The 23,216-nt window shown below is 37.9% G+C and overlaps 1 protein-coding gene across 9 annotated transcripts in view, besides 1 other annotated feature; it reads left to right on the forward strand.

Moving 5' to 3' along the window:
* EXT2 (exostosin glycosyltransferase 2) overlaps window positions 1-23,216 on the forward strand; it is a 156,285-nt gene that overhangs the window by 71,998 nt on the left and 61,071 nt on the right. For 8 of the 9 annotated variants that reach the window (XM_047426529.1, NM_001389630.1, NM_207122.2 and 5 more), the window contains one exon: window positions 3,936-4,067. In XM_047426529.1, the coding sequence (XP_047282485.1) occupies window positions 3,936-4,067 (132 nt within the window). The remainder of the gene's footprint in view (window positions 1-3,935; window positions 4,068-23,216) is intronic. The other variant, NM_001178083.3, reaches the window with a different exon arrangement.
* Window positions 10,490-10,990: an enhancer, noted in NCBI's record as "H3K4me1 hESC enhancer chr11:44199715-44200215 (GRCh37/hg19 assembly coordinates)". NCBI's record gives its function as "activates a minimal SCP1, AML or CMV promoter by ChIP-STARR-seq in naive H9 embryonic stem cells {active_cell/tissue: H9 hESC(naive)}" and the evidence as "EXISTENCE:reporter gene assay evidence [ECO:0000049][PMID:30033119]".

A 23,216-nucleotide genomic window follows, 5' to 3' on the forward strand; every position in this document is an offset into this window, starting at 1 on the left:
GCTAAAATTGAGACCAAATGACCAAAATGAAGAGAAAAACGACAGTAGAAAGATATCTACAGGTGACTCAGATATTGGAGTTTATCAGTCAAAAACTGATTATGTTCAAGAAAGTAGAAGAAAAGAAGGAGACTTTCTTTTTTTTATTATTATTATACTTTAAGTTTTAGGGTACATGTGCACAGTGTGCAGGTTAGTTACATATGTATACGTGTGCCATGCTGGTGCGCTGCACCCACTAACTCGTCCTCTAGCATTAGGTATATCTCCCAATGCTATCCCTCCCCCCTCCCCACTCCCCCGACCCCACAACAGTCCCCAGAGTGTGATGTTCCCCTTCCTTAGTCCAAGTGTTCTCGTAGTTCAATTCCCACCTATGAGTGAGAATATGCGGTGTTTGGTTTTTTTTTCTTGCGATAGTTTACTGAGAATGATGGTTTCCAGTTTCAACAAAGATATGAAATCTACTTTTGACAAGATCAAATGGAAATTCTGGAACTGAAAAATATAGGAATGAAATTAAGAATTTAATACATGGGTTTAATAGCAGTTTAAACACCAAAGAAAAAGGGCTAGAAGATTATTGAACCAGAAGAAAAGTTAGTAGAAAACACCCAGATTGAAGCACAGAGAGAAAAAATACTGAAAAGAGAATAAGAGATACATGAGATATATTGAAAACATTATGAAATATATTTCACATATATTTATATTTGGAGTCTCAGAAGAGGAGAGTGCAACAGAAATAATATTTAAGAAATATTGTCCGAAAGTTTTCTAAAATCAGTGGAAAGCATCAAACCACAAATTGAAGAAGCGCTACAATCCTCAGTGGGATAAATACAAAGGGCCACACCTAGGCATGTCATAGTTGAATTACTGTAAGCCAAAGACAGAGAAAGCTTAAATGCAGTCAGAAATAAAAAGCATATTGTCTTCAAAGGTGCACCAGTAAGATTGTCAGCTGATTTATTAATGAAAAATTGGATGAAGCCAGAACACAGTAGAAGTATATCTTGAATGTTCTGAAAGAAAATTGCTAACCTAGAATTCTCTACCTATCAAAAGTATCCTTCAAAAATTATTTGGGTAAAAAGAAGCTTTCAAACAAATAAAAGAGTCACCCACGAATTCTACAGTGAAATAAATAACAAAATAAATTCTTCAATTAGCAGGAAGATGATATGTGATGGAAGTTCAGATATGCATTAAGAAAAGAAAGGGTAAATATACGGTGAAAATTTACTTTAAAAAATAATGATGTCCCCAGACGCGGTGGCTCTTGCTTGTAATCCCAGCACTTTGGGAGGTCAAGGCAGGCGGATCACAAGATCAGGAGTTTGAGACCAGTCTGACCAACATGGTGAAACCCCATCTCTACTAAAAATACAAAAATTAGCCAGGCGTGGTGGTGCGTGCCTGTAATCCCAGCTACTCAGGAGGCTGAGGCAGGAGAATCGTTTGAACCTGGGAGGTGGAGGTTGCAGTGAGCTGAGATCGCGCCACTGCACTCCAGCCTGGGTGACAGAGTGAGACTCTGTCTCAAAAATAAATAAATAAATAAATAATAAAAATAAATAAATATAAAACATGTCTTGTGGGATTTAAAATATGTAGATGAAAAATATTTGACAATAATAGCACAGCAGATAGGAGAGAGCTGATAAATTATAAAATCGTTAGTTTGAGACGTAATATAATAAAGCAATGATGTTTACTGTAGTTGCTAGGAAAGCTACTCAAACAATAACAAAAGACTAAATAACTAGCAACCTAACGAAGAACAAAAATGTGGAATAATAATAAAAATTTTTTGATCAATTCTAAAGGTGAGAAAAAACTAAAGTAACAAAGAAGAGATAAATAGGAAACAAATAGAATAATCATACATTTACTCAGCCTTATCAGTAATGTAAATTAAGTATAAATCGACTATATTTGTAATTAGGAACCAAATATTTTTGGATGAGATAATATATTAAAACCCAGTAACAGATTGATTATCCCTTATCCAAAATGCTTGGGAGCAGAAGTATTTCAGATTTCAGATTTTTTTTTAGATTTTAGGGAATCTGAAATGCTCCAATGAGTATTTCCTTTGAGCATCATGTCAGCACTCAAAAAGTTTTGGATTTTGGAGCATTTTAGCTTTGATTTTTTGGATTTAGGATGCTCAACCTGTATATGCTTTTCGCAATAGACAAGCTTTGAGGGTACAAATTTGAAATGTATATTTATAAACTTGAAATACTTACATATATATGTATATAAATATACACACACACCCCACACAATCCATAGGCACACATGCAGGCAGACAAAAACCAATAAGGATATAGAATATTTAAACAAAATTATACCCATCAACTGCAGAATATACATTTTTTAAGTGTACATAGATTATTTATAAAAATAAACAATGTGCTGGACCATAAATCAAGTTTAAATAAATTGCAAAGTATTGAAATCACATGCGTTCTCTGACCACAGCGCAGTCAAAGTGCAGTCAAAGTAGAAATCAGTAACAGAAAGATAAATAGAAAAAATAAAAATATTTGGAAATTAAACAATATACAAAGGAAATTAGAACATTGTTTGCCTAAATGATGATGAAAATGATATGTAAATGTGCAGGAAGCACTTAAATAGCACATAGCGGGAAATTTATAACTTTAAATGCCTATATTAAAAATAAAGAAAGGTTGAAATCATGATCTAAACTTTAATTTTAGGAAGTTAAAAGCAAAATTAATTAAACTCCTCCAAAATAGAAGGAAATAATAAAATCAGAACAAAAACTAGCAAAATAGAAAGAATTATGTTGTGGAAAATCAACAAAATCAAAAGTCGATTTTTAAAAAAAGATTAACAAAATTGATAAAGCTCTACTAAGACTGATCAAGTACAAAGAGAAAACACAACAGTATCAGGAATGAAAAGAGATGTATTACAATAGATTCTACAGGTGTTAAATGGATGTGAATGCACAGCTTTATTTCAATAAATTTAACAATTAGTTGGAATGAACATATCCCTTGAAAAACACTGTTTATGAAACTGATATACACACAGAAAAACATGCATAATCCTATGGCTATGAAAGAAAATTCATCCATAATTTAAAACGTTCACATTCACACACACACACACACACACACACACACACACACACACACACACACCAATCCACCCACCCATACCCTTGCCCAGATGGCTTCTTTGAGGAATTCCTCTAAAACCTTTCAGGGAAGAAATAACGCTGATCTTGCATAAAAGTTCTCGAAGAACAGAAAAAGAGAGAATGGTTTCCACCTCATTTTATAAGGCCAGCATAACCTTGATACCATAACCTGACTTAGATATTATAAGTGTTGAGCAAAACAAATCAGACACAGAAGAGTAAATACTGTTTGATTCCATTAATATGAAATTCAAGAGCAGACACCACAATTGTAATCAGCATAATGGTTATTCTTAGAGGGATGAGATACTGACTGGGAAATAGCATGAGGGAATCTTTTGGAATGCTGGAATGTTCTATATCTTTATCTGGATACTAATTGTAAGAGTATGTACATATGTATAAATTCATTGAGCTGTACACAAGATTTGTGCACTTTATGTTATATAAGACAAAATACTATAAACTCTGCCATAACACATGGCTATTCTCATCATCACATAATTTATCTTCTATCTTAATTGAATCCAATGTGCATTTCACTTGCTAACATTTTATTTTGACTGCATTTGATAAATGCCAACTTCTGATGGCAGCTGGCTTGAACAGCAGGGAGCATATGCCCTAGGCACCCCCATCCCTACAACTTTGGGAATAAAGGAATTAGCCTAACCTGGAGTTGACTATGATAGAGTATCTAGTTTTCCCACTCTGTCTCGCTTGCTCACTTAAAACAGCATTATTTTCTTTATAGGCCCGGTGGTTCTGGGAAGCGTACTTCCAGTCAATTAAAGCCATTGCCCTGGCCACCCTGCAGATTATCAATGACCGGATCTATCCATATGCTGCCATCTCCTATGAAGAATGGAATGACCCTCCTGCTGTGGTAAGTGAATTCCAGTGCTAGCCACATGAGGCATGGTCCAGCTGTCAGGGTGGGTGGAAGGAAAAATGTACTACAATTGTAAAGGTTATTTAAATTCTAGCTTTCTAAGATGAGAGTGTGCTTTTTATACTTGGGGCCTGATAAGGGCAGCATAATTTTGAAACACTGACAAAAGTAAAAAATACGGAAGCAGCAGCTTCCAGTGTGTTTTAAGTGCTTAGAAAGACTGTCTATTTATTGCAGAGATAAGTAAGGAGGCATGGGTCTTGTTGGAAATCAAAGACATCCCGGTGACTTTTGCAATTGTAATGCTTAGAGCTTTTGAAAAACTTCTGTAAGCAACGTAATAATAATAGCTTGTATTTTGAGTGCTTACTCTGCCAGGGACTGTGCTAAGTGCTTTACGTGTATTACCTCAATTAATATTTCCAACACTCTGTGAGGAAAATAATAAGCAGAAGTGATCTAGAGGCATTACGGATTGCTATAGTCATTTGCTCAAGATTGTGGCAGAGGCTTCTAGCTACTTCCAGCAAAGAGATGGAGCAGTCAGAAGCTGCTCTTGGGCCTTCCTCCTTGTGTGAAGGAATCACAAGGCACATGTGTCCTTGTAGAAACTGTGGCAGTGGCTTCTAGGCACAGCTTCTTTCTCACTGAAAATGCCTGAAGTTTTGGAGCTGGAAATTACTACTTCCTAGCTGCTCTGAAGTGAACCTGGCTGTCCAGCTCACAGACGTCAAGGCATTCCTGTAAGAGAACTAGACTGTTCTCCATTCTTCATTCTAATTGTCTCTCTCTTTCTGACCTCTCAGCCCTCCTTGTCTCCTGATTCTACCTTTTCTTTTTTTTTTTTTTTTTGAGATGGAGTTTCGCTCTTGTTGCCCAGGCTTGAGTGCAGTGGCGCAATCTTGGCTCACTGCAACCTCCGCCTCCCAGGTTCAAGTGATTCTCCTGCCTCAGCCTCCCCAGTAGCTGGGATTACAGGCATCCGCCACCAAGCCCAGCTAATTTTTTTATTTTTAGTAGAGACAGGGTTGGCCAGGCTGGTCTCGAACGCCTGACCTCAGGTGATCCACCTGCCTTGTCCTCCCAAAGTGCTGGGATTACAGGCATGAGCCATTGTGCCAGGCCCCGATTCTACCTTTTCTAAATAGTGCTGTATATGGCTACCTGGTTAATCTTCATATAGGACCATCCTTTTCTCTTTCCTTTCCTGCCCACCTTCTTCCTTCTTTCATCCAGCCTTTTTGAAATGGTTACTGGGTTTTAGGCACTCTGAGAGGTGTTGAGAATACAGAAAAAAGAAGACAGTTCCTGCCTTCAAAGAAGCTCTCCGCTGATTTGGGAAGCTAGCAAGTAATGCTGTGAATGTAGAGGTCCTGTAGTGGAGTAGAGTGGTGTACTGAGTGCTGTGGATGCAAAGGGGACAGGCATCTCTCCTCACTGGGACACCTCCTGAAGAGGGAGTGCCTGAGAGGAAGTCAGTATGTGCGTATGGTAAAAACAACAGCAAACATCTTTTTGTTTTGCTTGAGGTGAAGTTTGCTTCTATCTCCCCGACTCCATTACCAAAGGTAACATCTCAGAATGTAAGCATAATTTTGTAGTTTTAAAACATATATGGGATTATACTAAACATGTTTTTCTGCCTTTTTTATTTTAGCACTAGATCATAGACTTATTTTTGTTTTATTCCATATAGGTCTCCTTCAGTTTTTTAGGATGGCTGTATTAGTATTCAATTGTTTGGGTATATCGTATGTAATAGGTCTATTATTGATAGGTATTTAGACTGCTTTCTTTTTTTTTCTTCTTTCTTTCTTTTTTTTTTTTTTTTTTTTTTTGAGATGGAGTCTCGCTCTGTCGCCCAGGCTGGAGTGCAGTAGCGCAATGCCGGCTCACTGCAAGTTCCGCCTTCTGGGTTCACACCATTCTCCTGCCTCAGCCTCCCGAGTAGCTGGGACTACAGGCGCCCGCCACCACGTCCGGCTAATTTTTTGTGTTTTTAGTGGAGACGGGGTTTCACTGTGTTAGCCAGGATGGTCTCATCTCCTGATCTTGTGATCCGCCTGCCTCGGCCTCCCAAAGTGCTGGGATTACAGGTGTGAGCCACCGCGCCCGGCCTTTTTTTCTTCTTTCTAACAGTAACAAGGGGCATACTTTCATATGTTTACACATAAATATGTGGACATATCTACAGAATTAATTCCAACTAAGAAATTGCTTGAAGAAAATACACATTTTAAATGTTGATAGATATTAACAAATTGCCCTTTCAAAAGACTATATTAATGTATAGTTTCACAAATAACATTTGGGTGTTCTAGTTCTCCATGTCTTCAGCAATGCTGGGTACTTGAACTTTTGCTCATCTCATAGGTGAGAAATGATCTTCATGTGTATTTTTCAAGGGAAAGACTGATATCTTTGTCGAGTTTTCTCAGATAATTCTATTTGTATTTTTATTGTTATCACATTGCACTTTTAGATTGTTTTAGACATTTATTTGTTCAGTTGGTATTTATTGAATGCCTGCCTTGTTCCAGGCAGGGTGCTTGGTACTTTGAATGAACAAGGCAGAGAAGGAGCCATGCCTTTGGGAAACTTGCATTGCAATGGATCTTTCTATCTAGAAGAAAGATTTGTCTTTCTGGTAGAATTTACATTTTATATATATATATATATTTGTGTACATATATATATTCCTTTACAAGTCTTGGTAAATATTTCTTAGATTTAAAATTTTTTCTTATACTCTAATAAAAGAATACTTTCTGATCTTATAGTTCTTAACTGGTTACCATTTGTGTACAGACACATTTTGACTTTTGTAAATTAATTTTGCAACTATTCTGTTACTGACCTCTACAGTTGTTTACTTTTTTTAGTTGATTCTCTTATATTTTTAGATATACAATTATATCTACAAATGCTAATTTTGCTTCCTTTTTCCAGTATTTGAAACTTTTATTTTTTCTTTTATCTAATTGCATTGGCTAGTACTTCCAGAACAATGTTAAATCATGATTTGAATGTTAAAAGAAAAGGGTAGGTATTATCTAGTCAGAGAAAGGAAGAAAAATTCCATCCAGAAGGAACAACAAATTCAAAGATACAGAGGGACAGGGGAGCTTGGTAGTTTAAGGAACTTCAGAGAGTTCAGTGTGGCAACAGTGAAGGAAGCTTGGGAGGGAGAGGCAGAGGATGAAGCCTGGAGAGGGTCCAGATCACAAAACACCGTGTATCTTACATAAGGCATTGGAGTGTTATCTGTGAGAAACAAGTGATCACTGAAGCCTTTTAAACAAGGGAGTAATGTGATAAGATTGCATTTTGGGTCAGTCTCATCTTAGTGTGGAGAATGGATGATGCATGGCAGTGGGACCAGACTGGAGGCAGTAGACTGTTTGAGAAATGCAGATGAAAATTAATAGAGGACACATTTGAGTGGTATCTGGAAAAATGGACTGTTCTAATTGGTAAGTGAGGGAGAAGTTCAGAAGACTGAGGTATACTGTACGGTTTATCCAGATAGGGAATTTGGTTGCATGAGGAGTCATGGGTGAGGATGGTATTGGCGTCCAAACTCAGTCTAACAGCAAGGCCCTCCACAATCTACCTTTCTTTTTTTTTCTTTTTTTTCTTTTTCTTTTTTTTTTTTCCTGTTCTCTTTCAAAGAGTTCTAGATTTCTGGCAGCACAACTCAATCCTTCCTCTGTGTGCCCCTGCTTTTCATCCTCTGTGCCTTTGTGGCTGCTAGCCTTTTCCTTGGCACACCTTTCTTCCCCATCATCTGCAGATTTATACAGGCTTCAGCAGCTGGCTGGTAAACTTTCTCCAGGAGGTTTTCTCAACCCCTTCAGCAGGAAGTAACTCTTAGAGCATGTTATCTGTGTTTCTTTTCCATCACTTAACATGTATAGAAGTAGAATTTCCTGTAAAGTTTTAAGCACCTTAAGGTCATTTCTGACCTTGGTGCTTCTCATAATACCTAGGACAACTTAATTCAGACAGGAAGATCTTGACATATAAAGGAAAGAAAGAGGGATGGAGAGAGGGAGAAAGGGAAGGAAGGAGGAAGATTGGCAGACTAGGAGTTGAGCCATCTAAGACACATCCTGCTGGAAAGGTAGGGAAAGTGGTAGATTGTTTCTCATCTGTAAAGTGGTTGTAATGAGACTAACCCAATGACTTATCTAAGATCATTGGCAAGTTGGCAAGTAATTGGCAAGTTGTGTGAACAAGTGATAACTCAGGTCTTCTACGTGCAGATTATCTTGAATTGCCTATGGAATTATAGGGGAGCCCTTGAGCCTCCTCTGGGCTGAAATGTTACTACTGTTCCAAGCAAATGGTACAAGCTTGAGATGAAAAATATTACATCTGTTCCTCTGCAGGAGAATTCATACTGGTGCAGGCGAATTCATAAAGAATTCTGTCTGGTCATGACCCAGACAGAAAGTACAGCAATAGTGGGACTTTATCCTATACTTTTATCTAAAGCTCTAAGAGATGTTTAATAAGAATAAAGGGTTGGAATTTAGTTCTTTTTTATAAGAATATAGGTAGGCTAGGAAAAATAGAATATGAAATTTTGCAGTTTTGAAATAGATATGTTTTAATTCAGGACAGAATGGTCAAAGTGCTAAACTCTTAACAATTTGAGAGGTAACATAAGCATAAAAAGCATAAATCAAGGTATATAACTGGAAAATATATTCTCTATATATTTTTAACTCTTTCTTAAATAATCCTTTTTAGGATACTTTGGTATTTATCACATTTCTAGCTCAGGTGACAAGAGCCCTGATTTAAAGCAGTGGGTTATACATTTCTCCATCTTCAGTGAAAGCAACTGATGGGAGGCCTGAATAGCGATGGTTTATTTATAGTTTACTTCTCCTCTTCCCTCAGAAATATTTAACCTACTCTAGATGAGATTACTATGAGCCCAACCTGCAGGGGAGTCTCTTCTCTAGATTCCATCAAATTTATGATGTCTGACATTCCGAGGTGGGAGTAGGTGTGGATCTTGGTCAGTAAATCAAGGGGTGGTCTGGGGTTTTCAGAGATACACTCTTAGGGTCTCCAGCCATGCACAGAGCTTGCTCAGACTGGAGAAGGAGAGGTGAGAGTTCAGAGTCATATTTTGGCTAGATGCAGCTGCCTTAGTTTAATGTAAAAAAAAAAAAAAAAAGGCCTACGTGTGTCGATGATTATGACAGTGAGAGGTGGCCTTGCAGAGTATTCATGTCACTAGATGCTTTGTCACTCTTATCTGTAAAACTAGGGTGATGACATTATCCACGTTGCACCACACCCTCAGAACCTGAAAAAGTTTGACACAGTAAAACTTGGAAATAATGTTAAAGTAATACACCTGTCTAAACTGGAGAGATTGACCTTTTGTTTTGAAAGGAATTCTTTTTGAAAGGAATTTATCACCAAGTTAAGGTTCTTTATTAGGGGAAGTGTGCATGTTTTTATATTAATTTTCTTAGCTGTTCATGTTAAGGCTGCCTATATTTTTATGCCTTTTCAGTCTCTTCATGCTTTTATTTTTCTCTCCTTTTTGCAAATATCAGCAAAGCTTTGTCATCTCCCTAAATATCCTATATTACTTCTAACTTTTATGTCATTTCTGGTCTTGCCTCTTGGCAGACCTTCATCCGCACATCTGGGGCTAGCCTCTATAGCTAGGGTTCTCCTTGGACACCCTCCTCATTTTACTTCTGTTTCTCTGCCAGATGTGAACATATGTAGGAGGACAGAGACAGAGACAAGTGAGCTTCAAACAGTGAATTCATGTGTCACCAAAGCTATGTCCTCTCAGTGACAGCTTTTTAAAAACTAAATGTAATATAGTCTGAAAATTATGTAGAGTGGAGTGTTTTCCCATGTTATTTTTCTATGATGTGATTTAAAAGATTATACTGCATCTTATCAATGTTATAATTTTATTTACATTTTTGATAGATGGTTTTTTTTCCAAGTTTGCTATCATAGGTAACACTAATAAAGATACCCCAGATTTTTTTCCTTTCTGCATTTACTTTACCAGATTTAAAACAGAAAGAGAAGAGAGTAGGGGTTCTTATGGCCATTGACAAAAATTGATGAGAAAAATGGGGAAGCATCTTAAAATGAATTATTATACCCAGAATAAGAATGAGGTTGAAAAACAAGAGCTTTTTCTATGAAATCTAGCCAGAGTGGCAACTTCACTGCAATCAAAGCCTCAGATGAGGATTAGATACTTCCCTGGACTTCCTCTAAGCCTCAGTCTAGCTCTAGTTTTTGAAGATAGAAAGGGCAAGGGATCAGCCAGATGAGAGTATTGCATAAGAGCACTTGATTGGCAAGAATCACCCAGGGGGATCAGAAATCACAGCTGTGGGCAAAATGTGGTAGAGTGTGCCATGGGGCAGTGGTTCTCAATCTTTAGTAGGCATCAGAATACAGAGTGCTGCCACTCCACCCTGAGATTCAGATTGGGTAGGTCTGGGGTAGGAACCTAGAATTCGCATTTCTAGCAAGTTCTCAAGTGTTGGATATTGATGCTGCTGGTCCAGGGACCATATTTTGATGTGGGATTTCATTCACTGTGAGTGTCCTAACTCACTCCCTGGAGAAGGCTCTTCCTTTCTCCTCATCCATTTCCTCCTCTTAACCCTGCGGGGCTTGGATTAGAGGCATCCAGAGGCTGGGTTCAGACTAAATCTGTCTCAGCTACATGAAAAACTCAGGGCTGCCTATACTTAGATGTCCAGACGGTGGCCCTCACTCACAAAGGTTGTGGTTGTACAAGCAGCTGAAAATATCACTCAGCTATAAACACTAACAAGCAATAAATCACTCTGCAAGCTGAAGAAGCACTAGCTCGGATGTATGAAGCAGAACTCTAAGTTGAAAAGATACCAGGTTAACAGTCTGTGTAACTCAACTCAGCACCCTGTAAGTTGTGGAATGTTTCTCTGGAATTTGAAAGCCTACCCTGCCCCCCAGGAGGCCTTCTTGGCTTATTCTCTCCATCTTCCTCCTACTGCCTAGATATGATTAAAAAAAAAAAATGTATGGAATTTAGAAATTTTAGCTTGAATTTAAGGTAAGTTTAAGCTTTTTGAAGTCTATTGTTTTTATAGGTATCACATTTATAGGATCACATTTGCACAAGTGATCCAGTATGCTACCCTAAATTCCAGACCTTTCCTTGAGTAGTACCTTTTACTTCTTTGGAAGTGAGCTAGAAAGTCTCAGGATGTCAGCAGCCAGGGAATAAGGAAAGCTGAACTGGGTCTGCAGATGGAGAGATGCAGAAAGACACAGAGAGCTTGATCTGGGGCCCCAAGCAAAGAACTTGGCCAATTCTGATGGTCAGATAGAAAATGGTAAAGAAAATGAAAATCACAAGCCAGATCCAGATGGGGAGGATAGATAAAGAATATGAAAAGACGGACTCGAGGATATTGCTAAGATGATCTTGTCAATCAGAAGAGCATACTAGAGCTTTTGTAGCAGAGATAAACTAATGTGCCTGTGTAACACACATCTGCGTGGCAGCCCCAGTGGTGGTGCTGGATGAATGAATCTACACACATTGTTTCCTTAGATGCAGTCCTGCCTTCATTGCTTACTTAGAGTTCACTTTTATGGCTCTAGCTTTCATGAATCAAAACCTGACTGCTTCCTTACATCACACAGCTTGTGGGAGGGCAGTGAGTAGAATAGTTTTTCAGAGTCCGTGGGAGCTTGATCTGGCAGCAGATTAATTAAGAACATACTGAATGTTTTGGCAAAGTAATCTTTCATGTACCAACTATCACTTATATTAGCACATCAAATTCCCTTTCCCCTTTTTTCAGGGGCCATTGTAATTCTCCCTTGAGGTCTGCTTAAATGATTCAATAATAGAACTTACCAGGGAAATGTGATAATTAAGTATTATAACCTCAAGATAATGAATTTTGTTTCCGTTTCTAATATTCTGTCCTTTTTATGTGTCTCCCAATTGATTAATATTTGAGTATAATTTTCTAATAAATGGGTCATTACAGCTGCAGATTAGGAAACTTTACACACTGCTTCAATGAGAGGTTGATTCTTGACTTTTGTGTCTCCCAATTGATTAATGTGTCTCCCAATTGATTAATTTTTTATGTGTCTCCCAATTGATTAATATTTGAGTGTAAATTTCTAATAAATGGGTCATTACAGCTGCAGGTTAGAAAACTTTACACATTGCTTCAACCAGAGGTTGATTCTTGACTTTTGGCTCTCCCTTTTTTTTCCCTCAGCTATATTTCTTGGTTTTGTGTTTTAGAAAATAGTGCGGCTTAAAAATTCAAGTAAAAGAAACCATAGAATGAAAATTAGGGCCTGTTTTCAAGGAGTAACTGCTTTTAACTCTAACTTTTCTCTGATACTTTCTTCCTATTTCCCCATTAATGCTGTTTTTAAATTTCTTACTCAGAAACCTCTTTTTACTTCAAGTTAGCACTTTTTCTCCTGTTGTTTCTACTTCCCCTATACACTCCTCCTGTTCCATCTTACCGTTATGACTGTGTCATCATTTTTCATTAAAGTGGTATTTATTATATGCATTATTAGAGCTGTATAAATGTTGTTTTCAACTGAACAAAGTTGTAAACAAGGATTTTGTTTTCTTTCTTGTACAGCTTTCTATTTTCCAGAGAGCTAATAAATGCCTGTTGTTTTTTCCCGCAGTTTTCCATGTTCCTATCACTAATTTAATTTTCCTGGATTCCCAAACAAAATAATAAAATGATCAAGCACAAGTGAAGTCCAGGATTTTTGTTTCTTTCTGGAGTCATCTCTCCTGTAGCCCCTCTCTTCGGTTCCAGTCTGCAGTGATTGCTCTCCAGGTCTCCTGTGCAGTGGTCATCCTGATTCTCAGTTCACTGTGACACTCTGAATTCCCTTTGTGTCTCTGCTCTGTTGGATTTTTTATTTCCATATTGTAACATCTTTCTCTGTTTTGGTTTTTTTCCAAAAGCTTCTTAAGAAATGGATGAAGGGAGATACATTTTCTGTCACCTTACATGTCCTAAAGTTATTCTGGCTGGGCGCGGTGGCTCACACCTGTAATCCCAGCACTGTGGGAGGCCGAGGCGGGCGGATCACCTGAGGTCAGGAGTTCAAGACCAGCCTGGCCAACATGGCGAAACCCCATCTCTACAAAAATACAAAAATTAGCTGGGCATGATGGTGTGTGCCTGTAACCCCAGCTACTCGGGAGGCTGAGGTGGGAGAATCACTTGAAGCCAGGAGGCGGAGGTTGCAGGGAGCCGAGTTCGCACCATTGCACTCCAGCCTGGGCAACAGAGTAAGACTCCGTCTCAAAAAAAAAAAAAGTTTTTTATTCTGTTACACTTGTGATTAATAATTGGGCTAGTGTAGAATTCTGGTTGAGGTGGGTTTTCTTATGAATTTTGAAAGGATTGCTCCATTATCTTCTAAGTTTTTCATTTTAATCTCAAAAAGTGAGATGTCATTCTTATTCCTGGTCCTTTTGTGTGACCTTTGTAACCTTTTTTTCCTTCCTGGCAAATTCTGTGTTCTAAAATTTTATGATGATACGCCCTGACGTGGGTGTTTTCTGCTAGCTGGATACTGATTTGGACCCTTTTAAACTGGAAATCCATGTGCTTCAGTTGTGAGAAATTTTTGTATTTTATTTCTTTGATTATTTTATTTTTCTGTTTTCTCTTTTCTTTATGGGACGTCTGTTACATAGATGACGAATGTGCTAGACTGATTGCTGTTTTTCGTACCTTACCATCTTTCGGTCTTCTTCTAATTTTTTGGATATTTTCTCAGTTTTGTATTCTGACCTTTCTTTTGATTTTTAATATTTTGTTTACTTTTAAAATCTGAGAGTTTTTTTCCTGGACTTCTAGTTAATCTTATAACTTCCTAATTTTGTTTTAAAGTTGGAGTATTTTCTCTCTGAAGATATTATTTGTGGTTTTTAGTTTTTAGTTTTCTTCAGCTCCTTTTATTGTTTGGTTTCTTTGAATTCCTTTTTCAGTTTTTGTTTGCTATTTTTCTTATTGGAAGCTTTCTTCAAATACCTGATGATTATTGGCAGTCTGCTCTTATTTGAGAGTGAAGCACTGAAAGCTGATTGGAAGCTCTGTATACATGAATAAGGCTTGTCAAGCAATGGGCTCCACTTAGGTTAAGAGGATGGGGACCTGATTGCCTAAGTATTGGCATCCATGGGTTATTTCTCTTGGACTGGCTCATTGATCAGAGAATAATCTTTCTGTTTTGGGGGTTGGGGAAAGGATGGATAATAATTCTGGGCTGCAGGTATTTTGGGAGCCGAATAGAGGAAGGAGTCGGGTTCTCATCCTTCATCCTACAGATTATTATTTAATCTGTTATATTTAGTATGGTGCCTCACCCTGCTTTCTGTGCCTGGGGTCTCTGAGTCCGGAATCTCCCTCAATCATTTTTTCTAGAATATAAACCTCCCTTCTCCTGTCAAGGTTGAGGGGTGGGGTAACAGGGAGATGGTTGGCCTGTGAGTGCTAAGTTTAAGGGATCTTGAGACCAACTGTTCCTTATTTCTGTTTCCAGAGCCCCTTCTTCCAGGATACCAAGTATCTCCAATTTCTGAGTTTTATTATCATTATCCTTGGAAGCTTTAGCTTTTTTTTTGCTTTGCCATGTAGGTTATTGTCCACCTATCTATATTTTGTTTATTTAAATTGATCTAAAAACTATATTTTCTAAATTTTAACTTTTTACGTTGACATATTTCAGAATTAAATTTCTAAAAATAGTACACTCTTTACCCAGATTTCTTAAATGTTTCTGTGTACTCTTCACCCAGATTCTTCAGCTGTTTATCTTTTATCACAGTTGCTTTATTCCTTTTTCTCTGGGTACATGTGTATGTGTATTTTTTCCCCTGAATTTTTTGGAAGTTGCAGATATAATGCACCTTTATCTCTAAATACTTCTTATACAAAATCACAATAAAGTGATTGAAATCGTCAAGACATAAACATTGGTGCAATATTATTATTTAATCTGTAGATCTTATTTCGATTTCATCAGTTATCCTAATAATGTCCATTAGAACAAAAGAAAATCCAAGACCATGCATTGCATTCATGTCTCTTTAGCCTCCTTTTTAAGTCTAGAACAATTTCTCAGTCTTTCTTTTTCTTACCTGAAATTGACATTTTTGAAGAGCACATGTATTTCTGTAAGACGTCCTTTGATTTGGGTTTATTATTTTGTAAGTTATTTTGTAAGATATCCTTTGATTTGGGTTTGTCTGATGCTTTTGCATGATGAGATTCAAATTATGCATTTTGACAGGAGTGTCATATAAGTAATGTGTTCTCAATGTATCATATTGGAGAACACATGATGTCAATTTGTCCTATTACTGGTGATGATAACTTGGATCACAGGTTTCTGGGAGTTTCTCCAATGTCATGCCAAGTTACTACTTTTCCTTTTATTATGTGTCTTGTGGGGTACTACTTTGAGACTATGTGAATATCCTGTTACTCCTCAAAGTTTCACCCACTAGAATTTTAGCATCCATTGGTGATTCTTGCCTGAATCAGTTGTTATAGTGGTTGCCAAATAGTGATTTTCCAGTTCTTATTCTCTATCTTCTCAAATAAGTTACTAATTTTTTTGAGGGTGATTTGTCTTTTTAAACCTGAAGATTGTTGAGTTTAAAGGTTCTTCTTTAATCCATTTTTGGAAAGTTTTCATTCTCTCTTTGAATATTACATATCTGCAATTCTCACTAATCTTTCCTTCTAGAATTCTATTAAATCTTTGTTAGGCCTTTTATTCTGTCCTTACCTTATGTCTCTCAGCTTTGTTTTGTTTCGTTCATCAGGTTTTCCACATTTTTCTCTCTCTGTGCTGCATGCTAGATAACTTTTTCACATCTATTTTCCTATTTTCTTCATCTTTGACTAATGTGTTTTTTACCCATTCATCATGATTTAAATTTCAGTGGTTATTTGTAGAAGTTCTATTTGATTATTTTTCAAATCTGTCTGCCTGGCCTTCTTCATAGCATCTTTTTTTCTCACATTTTTAATTCCTTCTTTTATATCTTTAATCATTTGAGACACTTACTTTATATTCTTCATCCAATTTTCTGAATTCCTGTGAGGTCTGATCTTGTCATTTGTCTACTGTCCACTGCTCTTGTTGCATTGTTTCCTTAGATGTTTTATAATTTTGGAATGTGAGTTCATCTCACATGTGAGGTTTTCTGTGGAAATTCTCCCATCCTGGGATAAGGAGGTATTTTCCAGAGAATTTGTTTTTGTTTATTTTGCTTCTTCAACATTAATGTCTCACTGGAGGTTTCTGAACCACTCAGATAATTCATTGAAACCCCAAACCTGCATGAGCCCCAGCCTCTGTTAAAAGCTCCCAAGGGAAACAGAGCTGACTTGGTTACGAAGCAGTAAGCTCTTTCTCTTTCTGCAAGTTGGTGAAAACATGCTGTTCCAGGGAATTTTATTTTTTCATGTATCATGATATTTACGCTGGGAAGCCTTGTTTTCCCATGTTATAGAGCATTCTTGGTTTAATAAAACTAGCTAAAAATTACATTTTTTCTTAAAGTAAGTGCTCTTTCCACGTGAGAACTACTTTTTTTTGTTTGGTTTGAAGGTAAGAAAGGGAGGAGGAACTTTTCTCTTTATATAATTACATTGAGGGCCGGGCGCGGTGGCTCACGCCTATAATCCCAGCACTTTGGGAGGCCGAGGGGGGTGGATCACGAGGTCAGGAGATGGAGACCATCCTGGCTAACAAGGTGAAACCCCATCTCTACTAAAAATACAAGAAATTAGCTGGGCGTGGTGGCGGGCGCCTGTGGTCCTAGCTACTCGGGAGGCTGAGGCAGGAGAATGGCATGAACCCGGGAGGTGGAGCTTGCAGTGAGCCGAGATGGTGCCACTGCACTCCAGCCTGGGCGACAGAGCAAGACTCCGTCTCAAAATAATAATAATAATAATAATTACATTCAGCCTGTGATGAAGCATTTGATTATTAGACAGCAATGTCACTGATCAGTTTTTTAAGTTGTCAGCAATTAATTGTAAACACTAGTGTAGTACTCTTCATTATGGTAAATACAGTTGTCTTAAGATGAATGGCTCATATTTTGGTACAGTGCTTGATGTTCAAAACAAAATGTTGCAAAACAATAAGCAAACATAAATTGAAAGAAAAAATTCCCCAGGAGGATTCCCCCTCACCCACATCACCAAGCTCAGGTTGAGAAAGAAAAGTGACTTTTGTTGCTTCTGTGTACTAGTGAGAGACTTTTTCTGGCCCACTCTTTCACTGATTGTATAGGCCTTCAAGGGATCTGGTTTAATGTACAAGTCTCACTTCTAACTTCCTTACTTCCTGTGCCCAAAACCAAGTCTCCTGTTCCAGCATGAGCGTTAAAACCAACTACATTGCCAACCCCTGCAACAAGCTTGGCCCTCTGCGGTGCCACAGTGCCAACTAGCTCCTGGGCGTTCAGCTTTCATTTGCAGTTTTTTCTTCATTTTTGGTCCCTAGGGACTTATCTTTTCCAGTGACCTCAGCTGTATATTTAAAATAATTTTTGTTCTATTTTATACTACATTTCTATGTTTTATAGCAAGAGGATTTTGAAAAAGGAAGGCTTCATCTGTTTTACCTTCCAAAAATTTGTTGAACTCTGGTCCATTCTTGTTTCCAATAAAAGGTTTTTTTTTGCCCTTGTGGGTTCATGCCTTTTTTTCAGGAAGAAGCAGAGATGGAGCACAGCAGACAAAACATATGCTTTATTGGAATTCCAGAGAAATTAATATTTAAGAAATCACTTTATTGTGGAGTCTCTTCTTTCCACTCTGTATCAACTTTCATTTTGGTGTTAGGCTCCTAACAGCTCAAACTATACAGAAACTGTGGTTTTCTTGGTTATAACTGTGTTGGTGTTTTGAGCTTGGATGCCATAAGCTGTAATTTAATCACTCCCCAAAGTTCTTATTTACCAAGCCAATGAAGTCTTCCCCTATACCATAGATGACCTCTCTAATATGGTCAGGGGCTACCAACAATCATTTTTATGCCCAGATCAGAGAATGAGCTACTCTTTCAAACTGTCAGAGCATTTCAAGTATGGGAGAATCAGTTGAAACTGTAAATTTGTTTTACCTCTCATAAGATGTAGTAGTATAAGCCATCATGAACATTGTTGGACACTTTGTCTTTGGTTTATAGATTGGCTTTCTTTGTTTGAATCAGATAAGTCACTAGTTTTTTCACTGAAGCATTTAAGTATTTTCAGTGTATTTATGAAGTAGCAGGTCCAAGGATGATGATTGAAGACCTTGTTCTAAATAATCTAAATCTTTTGTACTGTAAAACAGCTGAACTGTTATTTTTAACATATCAAATTATAAACCAATAAAATCAATGGTATGTTATCTTTGCCAGTATCTTAAGCAATCATACTATAGATATATTTAGTGAAATTTATTACTTGCAGACTGCTGTAACTCATGAATTATTAAAAGTATCAGCATATGGAACCCTCTCTTCCCTCATTCCAAATTCTTTTAATATGGCTTATGTTGAACCATTTAAATGGTTTCTGTCCATCCCACTAATGGAAGCTGCAGCCAGATGAGGGTTCTTATAAATGATTGGCTTTCTTTCCAAGCAAGAGGAGGATGAAATGTCAACTTTTTCCTCTACTACCTGAAAAGCAATCAGTGGCAACCTTTCTTGCTCTCCTTGACAGTAGTTTGGCTTTATGGAAGAAGGGTGGGCATTTAGCCAAATGTGAATTTCAGTGCTATATGAAGAAAAAAATTGACGTAGCTAAAACTCAGATAATAACAGGAATTTTCAAGAGGCATTCAAATGGGTTTAACCTGTGAGCCTTCCAGTAAACTAACTGTAGCCCAGAAATTCCTAAACTGCACGTTTCAATCCCTTTTTTCTTGAGGATGATCTGAGTGACTTGAGGTTACTTACCAAATCTCTCTTTGCAACAATTTGCCCATCTGTAGGACTGAAATTAGGGATAATGATAGCTTCAGAAGAATAGTGTAACAATTAGCAACTGATTATTTTCTGATCATATGATTATCTGATTATGTCTGATTATAATTAAGGCCATTGCAAAGGACATTTGGAATCAAACCTGAGCTCAAAACCATTTATTAGCTTGACCTTGTACAAAATTTCCTTCCTTCCTTCCTTCCTTCCTTCCTTCCTTCCTTCCTTCCTTCCTTCCTTCCTTCCTTCCCTCCTTCCCTCCTCCCTCCCTCCGTCCCTCCCTCCCTCCCTTCTGCAGCGGCACAATCATAGCTCCCTACAGCCTTGACCTCCTGGGCTCAAGTGATCCTCCCACCTCAGCCTCCTGAGTAGCTGGGATTATAGGTGTGCACCACATGCCGTGCTACTTTTAAAAAATCTTATTTTTGTAGAGTGCAATGGCATGATCACAGCTCACTGCAGCCTCAAACTCCTGGGCTCCACCAATCCTCCTGCTTCAGCCTCCTAAGTAACTAGGACCATAGGCTTGCACCACTATATCCAGCTAATTTTTTTTTTTTGTAGTGACAGGGTCTTACTATGTTTCCCAGGCTGATGTTGAACTCCTGGCCTCCAGCTCTTGAACTCCTGGCCTCGAGCAATCCTCCCACCCTGGCAAGTTTCTTATCTCTTTGAATTTCATTATTCTTATCTGTAAAATGAGGATACTTATTTCAGAGAACTATTCTAAGAAATTAATGATATACATGGAAGCATTTTGTAAGTGGTGTGGAGCTATGAGAAGTGAAGTGTTGATAATTATAAGGTTGATAGTATAATGCTGTATCACATGGAAACATAAATTTTAGAATTGGGTGGGACTCTGGAGAGGAAAATTAAAAATACAGGAGGGTATTTTTTGTGCCCAGATAGGTCTTATTATGTATTTTCTCTTGTTTATTCCTTACAACAAAAGGTAGCATTCCGTTAGCTCTATTCTTACAGATGAAGGAAGTGAGACATATTTATATTCAAGGCCCATCCACTGATCACCTCTTTTTTTAAATGAGGAAATGGAGGTCCAAAAAAGTATGTTGATTCATCTAATGCAGAGATTCTGTGCCCATCATTCCATCTATTATACTGCTTTCTTTTCATATAATTGTTTTCATCTTGTACCCAAATTTGGCCCCCAAGTTAAACAGGGAACACAATGACACATAAGTACAGTGGCAGTGTAAATATAAAAAAGACTTCTGTCCCTGGCTTTCTGATAGGTTAGATATGCTAAGTGACCTCCTTAAGTGAACAACTAAAATATTGAATGAAGTATTATAAAGCAATTTTAACCTATTGCTGAGCTGGCAGGAAAGTAAGGTATTTGCTAATCCCCAAATCAAAGTGAAACTTGGTATCCTGGGAGGTGAGTGGGAGCCAAAATCAGCTTTTGCCATGGAGACTTTTGTAGACCTTGATGATCTGGAGCTTTGACCTGGTAACTCTGTGAAGTAAGGGACAGGGATTAGGATTTAAATCCTGTGGCCCATCCAACTCTCACAAGAACTTCTTGGATGAAGCTAGGAAACTAAAAGATTATGTCTTCAGTGAAAGAGTAAAGAAGGAGTAAACCTGTCTGTATTGACCCTTGTGATTAAGAACTGCAATCACAAGCCACCCCCACATGGATTCATACTACAGTTATCATCCAAATAAGCCTTATGAAGGGAATTTAGTTGAAAGTGGCTTTGTATTGATAGGAACCAGCAGAAGCAGACACAAACCCTGTCATAAGGACCATATTTTCAGTCCAGGTCTCAAATAATTCTTATAAATTAAGTGTCTGAGGACAATTAGCAGCTCACAACCATAAAGCTATAGGCAATATTGTGAGCGAGAACTACCAGAAACAGACATGCAAGGGCTTGCAATTATTAGATTAGATTATTAGAGTCAATGAAATTGTTCAGAATGCAGCCCAAAGAGACAAAGAGGTGGAAAATATGAAGAAGTGAAGTAATATAGAGAACAGAGAGAGAAGGTCCAACATACGTCTAAGCTGAGTTCCAGAAGAAGAGGTGGGGAATGGAAAGAAGCCCTATTGAAAGGATCAGAGCTGAGAATTTTCCACAATTGTTGAATGACACAGGCCGCAGATCCAGGAAGACTAGCAGACCACAAGCAGGATAAGTAAAAGTAAATTTACAGCCTGGTAATCATAATGAGACTGCAGTAAACCAAAGAAAAAGCAAAGATCTTAAAAGCAGCTGTAGGAAAAAGAGAATAGCAGTAGACATATTTGGCCTGCTCTTGTGACCCTGAGTTAGTCTCTGGCTCAGTTTCTTCAGATATCAGTCATGGTACTTGTTAGTTCAGTACCCCCAAATGTGATGCCACCATTTAGAAAACTCACTTATGAGCAAATTGCTGTAAATAGGTTTCAGGAGCTTTAAGTTGATAATTAACTATCTTACTTAGTTGAAGCCTTAAGAGGATTTCTAGCCTTTGATTTTCTCCATTTTTCACATGTCTGTTTAATGGTTGGTCAGTGAGATTTGGCCTTCAGTGTTATTCTTGTTTTTCAGAACAGTCAGTTATTGTATTAGTCTGTTCTCACATCACTGTAGAGAATTACCTGAGACTGGATAATTTAGAAAGAAAAGAGGTTTAATTGGCTCTTGTTTCTGCAGGCTGTACAGGCTTCTGCTTCTGGGGAAGCCACAGGAAACTTACAATCATGGCGGAAGGCAAAAGGGAAGCTGGCATGTCTTACATAGCTGGAGCAGGAGGAAGAGAGAAGGGGGAGGTACTACACACTTCTAAACAACCAGATCTTGGGAGAACTCACTCACTGTCATGAGAACAGCAAGGGGGAAACCCACCCCCATGATTCATTTATATCCCACCAGGCCCCTCCTCCAACATTGGGGATTACAATTCAATGTGAGATTTGAGCAGGAACACAAATCCAAACCATATCAGTTATTATTTGAGAGTGAAATGAAATAGACATGTGCATCAGGTAAACTTCAGACTTGTCCCCAAAACTTTTCTCTCTTGAGCTAAGAGATGCTACTTGAAGACATTGTTAGGTCTCAGTAATTCTCTAGTTTTGCAAGTCAGCATGTGCCTGGCTGGTGGAGTGCTGTGCTGTGGGTATTTGGGGCTGTAGAGGTTTAATGGTTAAGGCAACATGGACCACATTACTGATTGCCCCTTTCAAATCTCCCAGTAACCATTAACATAAATATCATCTCACCATTTTGGACAAGGGACACCACCCTTATGCACGTTAGTAATATGATGCTAATGCTTAACTCTTTCATTGCCCTGCTTCAAAGGCCTTGTCCTATATCCATTGATAGGGAGTCTCTTTGAACCTAAAGGAGAAATGAAAGGGTTAACTCCTTTTGGTTTTGCCCTTTGACCACTTCTGGATGAGAGGCATGATGAAATACTTTTCAAAGTCTTCAGTGGAAACACATCATGCATAATTGGAGCAAAAAAGAATAAATCAAAGCTTTTTTTCCCCTTTTAGTCTGGTAATTCATAATTGAAACCACATTGAGGTAAGGGTTGATAACTTCAAAACAACCAAGAAAACTGCCCTTTCTATCAAGGTAGGAATAGGTAAGGCTTCTCATTACTAGGTGCTGAAAAGCTTCTGTATAGCAGGCCTGTCCTCTTCTCTTCCTTTCTTCTCTGTCTTCTCATTTTTCTGTTTAGGCAAAATACGTTCATTTAAATCAGATATAGGTTGACTCAAATATCTGCTGAATTCTCTTATTTTCACATGAAGTTATACATAGTGACAAAAAATCTCTGATGTGATGAGGAATAGTAATTAAAATTTGGATCATCCTGTATTGCAGCTTGATTTCTTCAGTGCTACAGTTTGGTTTGGTTTAGGCTGAAAGAGTCTTTTAGTTGGTAATGAAATGTGGTTTTCCTTGCTCTTGATTTCACAATCCGAGTAGCATCAGCAAGAACGCTTCAGAATGGCTAGCAAAGGCCACCCGTTTACCACCTTTCTCTGCTTTCTGTATGGTAACCCTAGAATGGTTTTGGTTAGGCTCACACAGCTACCATGACCTTTCAACTACAAGAAAGCAAATCAGG

This window comes from Homo sapiens, chromosome 11 (genome assembly GCF_000001405.40).
Source record: "Homo sapiens chromosome 11, GRCh38.p14 Primary Assembly".
Classification (NCBI taxonomy): Eukaryota; Metazoa; Chordata; class Mammalia; order Primates; family Hominidae; genus Homo; species Homo sapiens.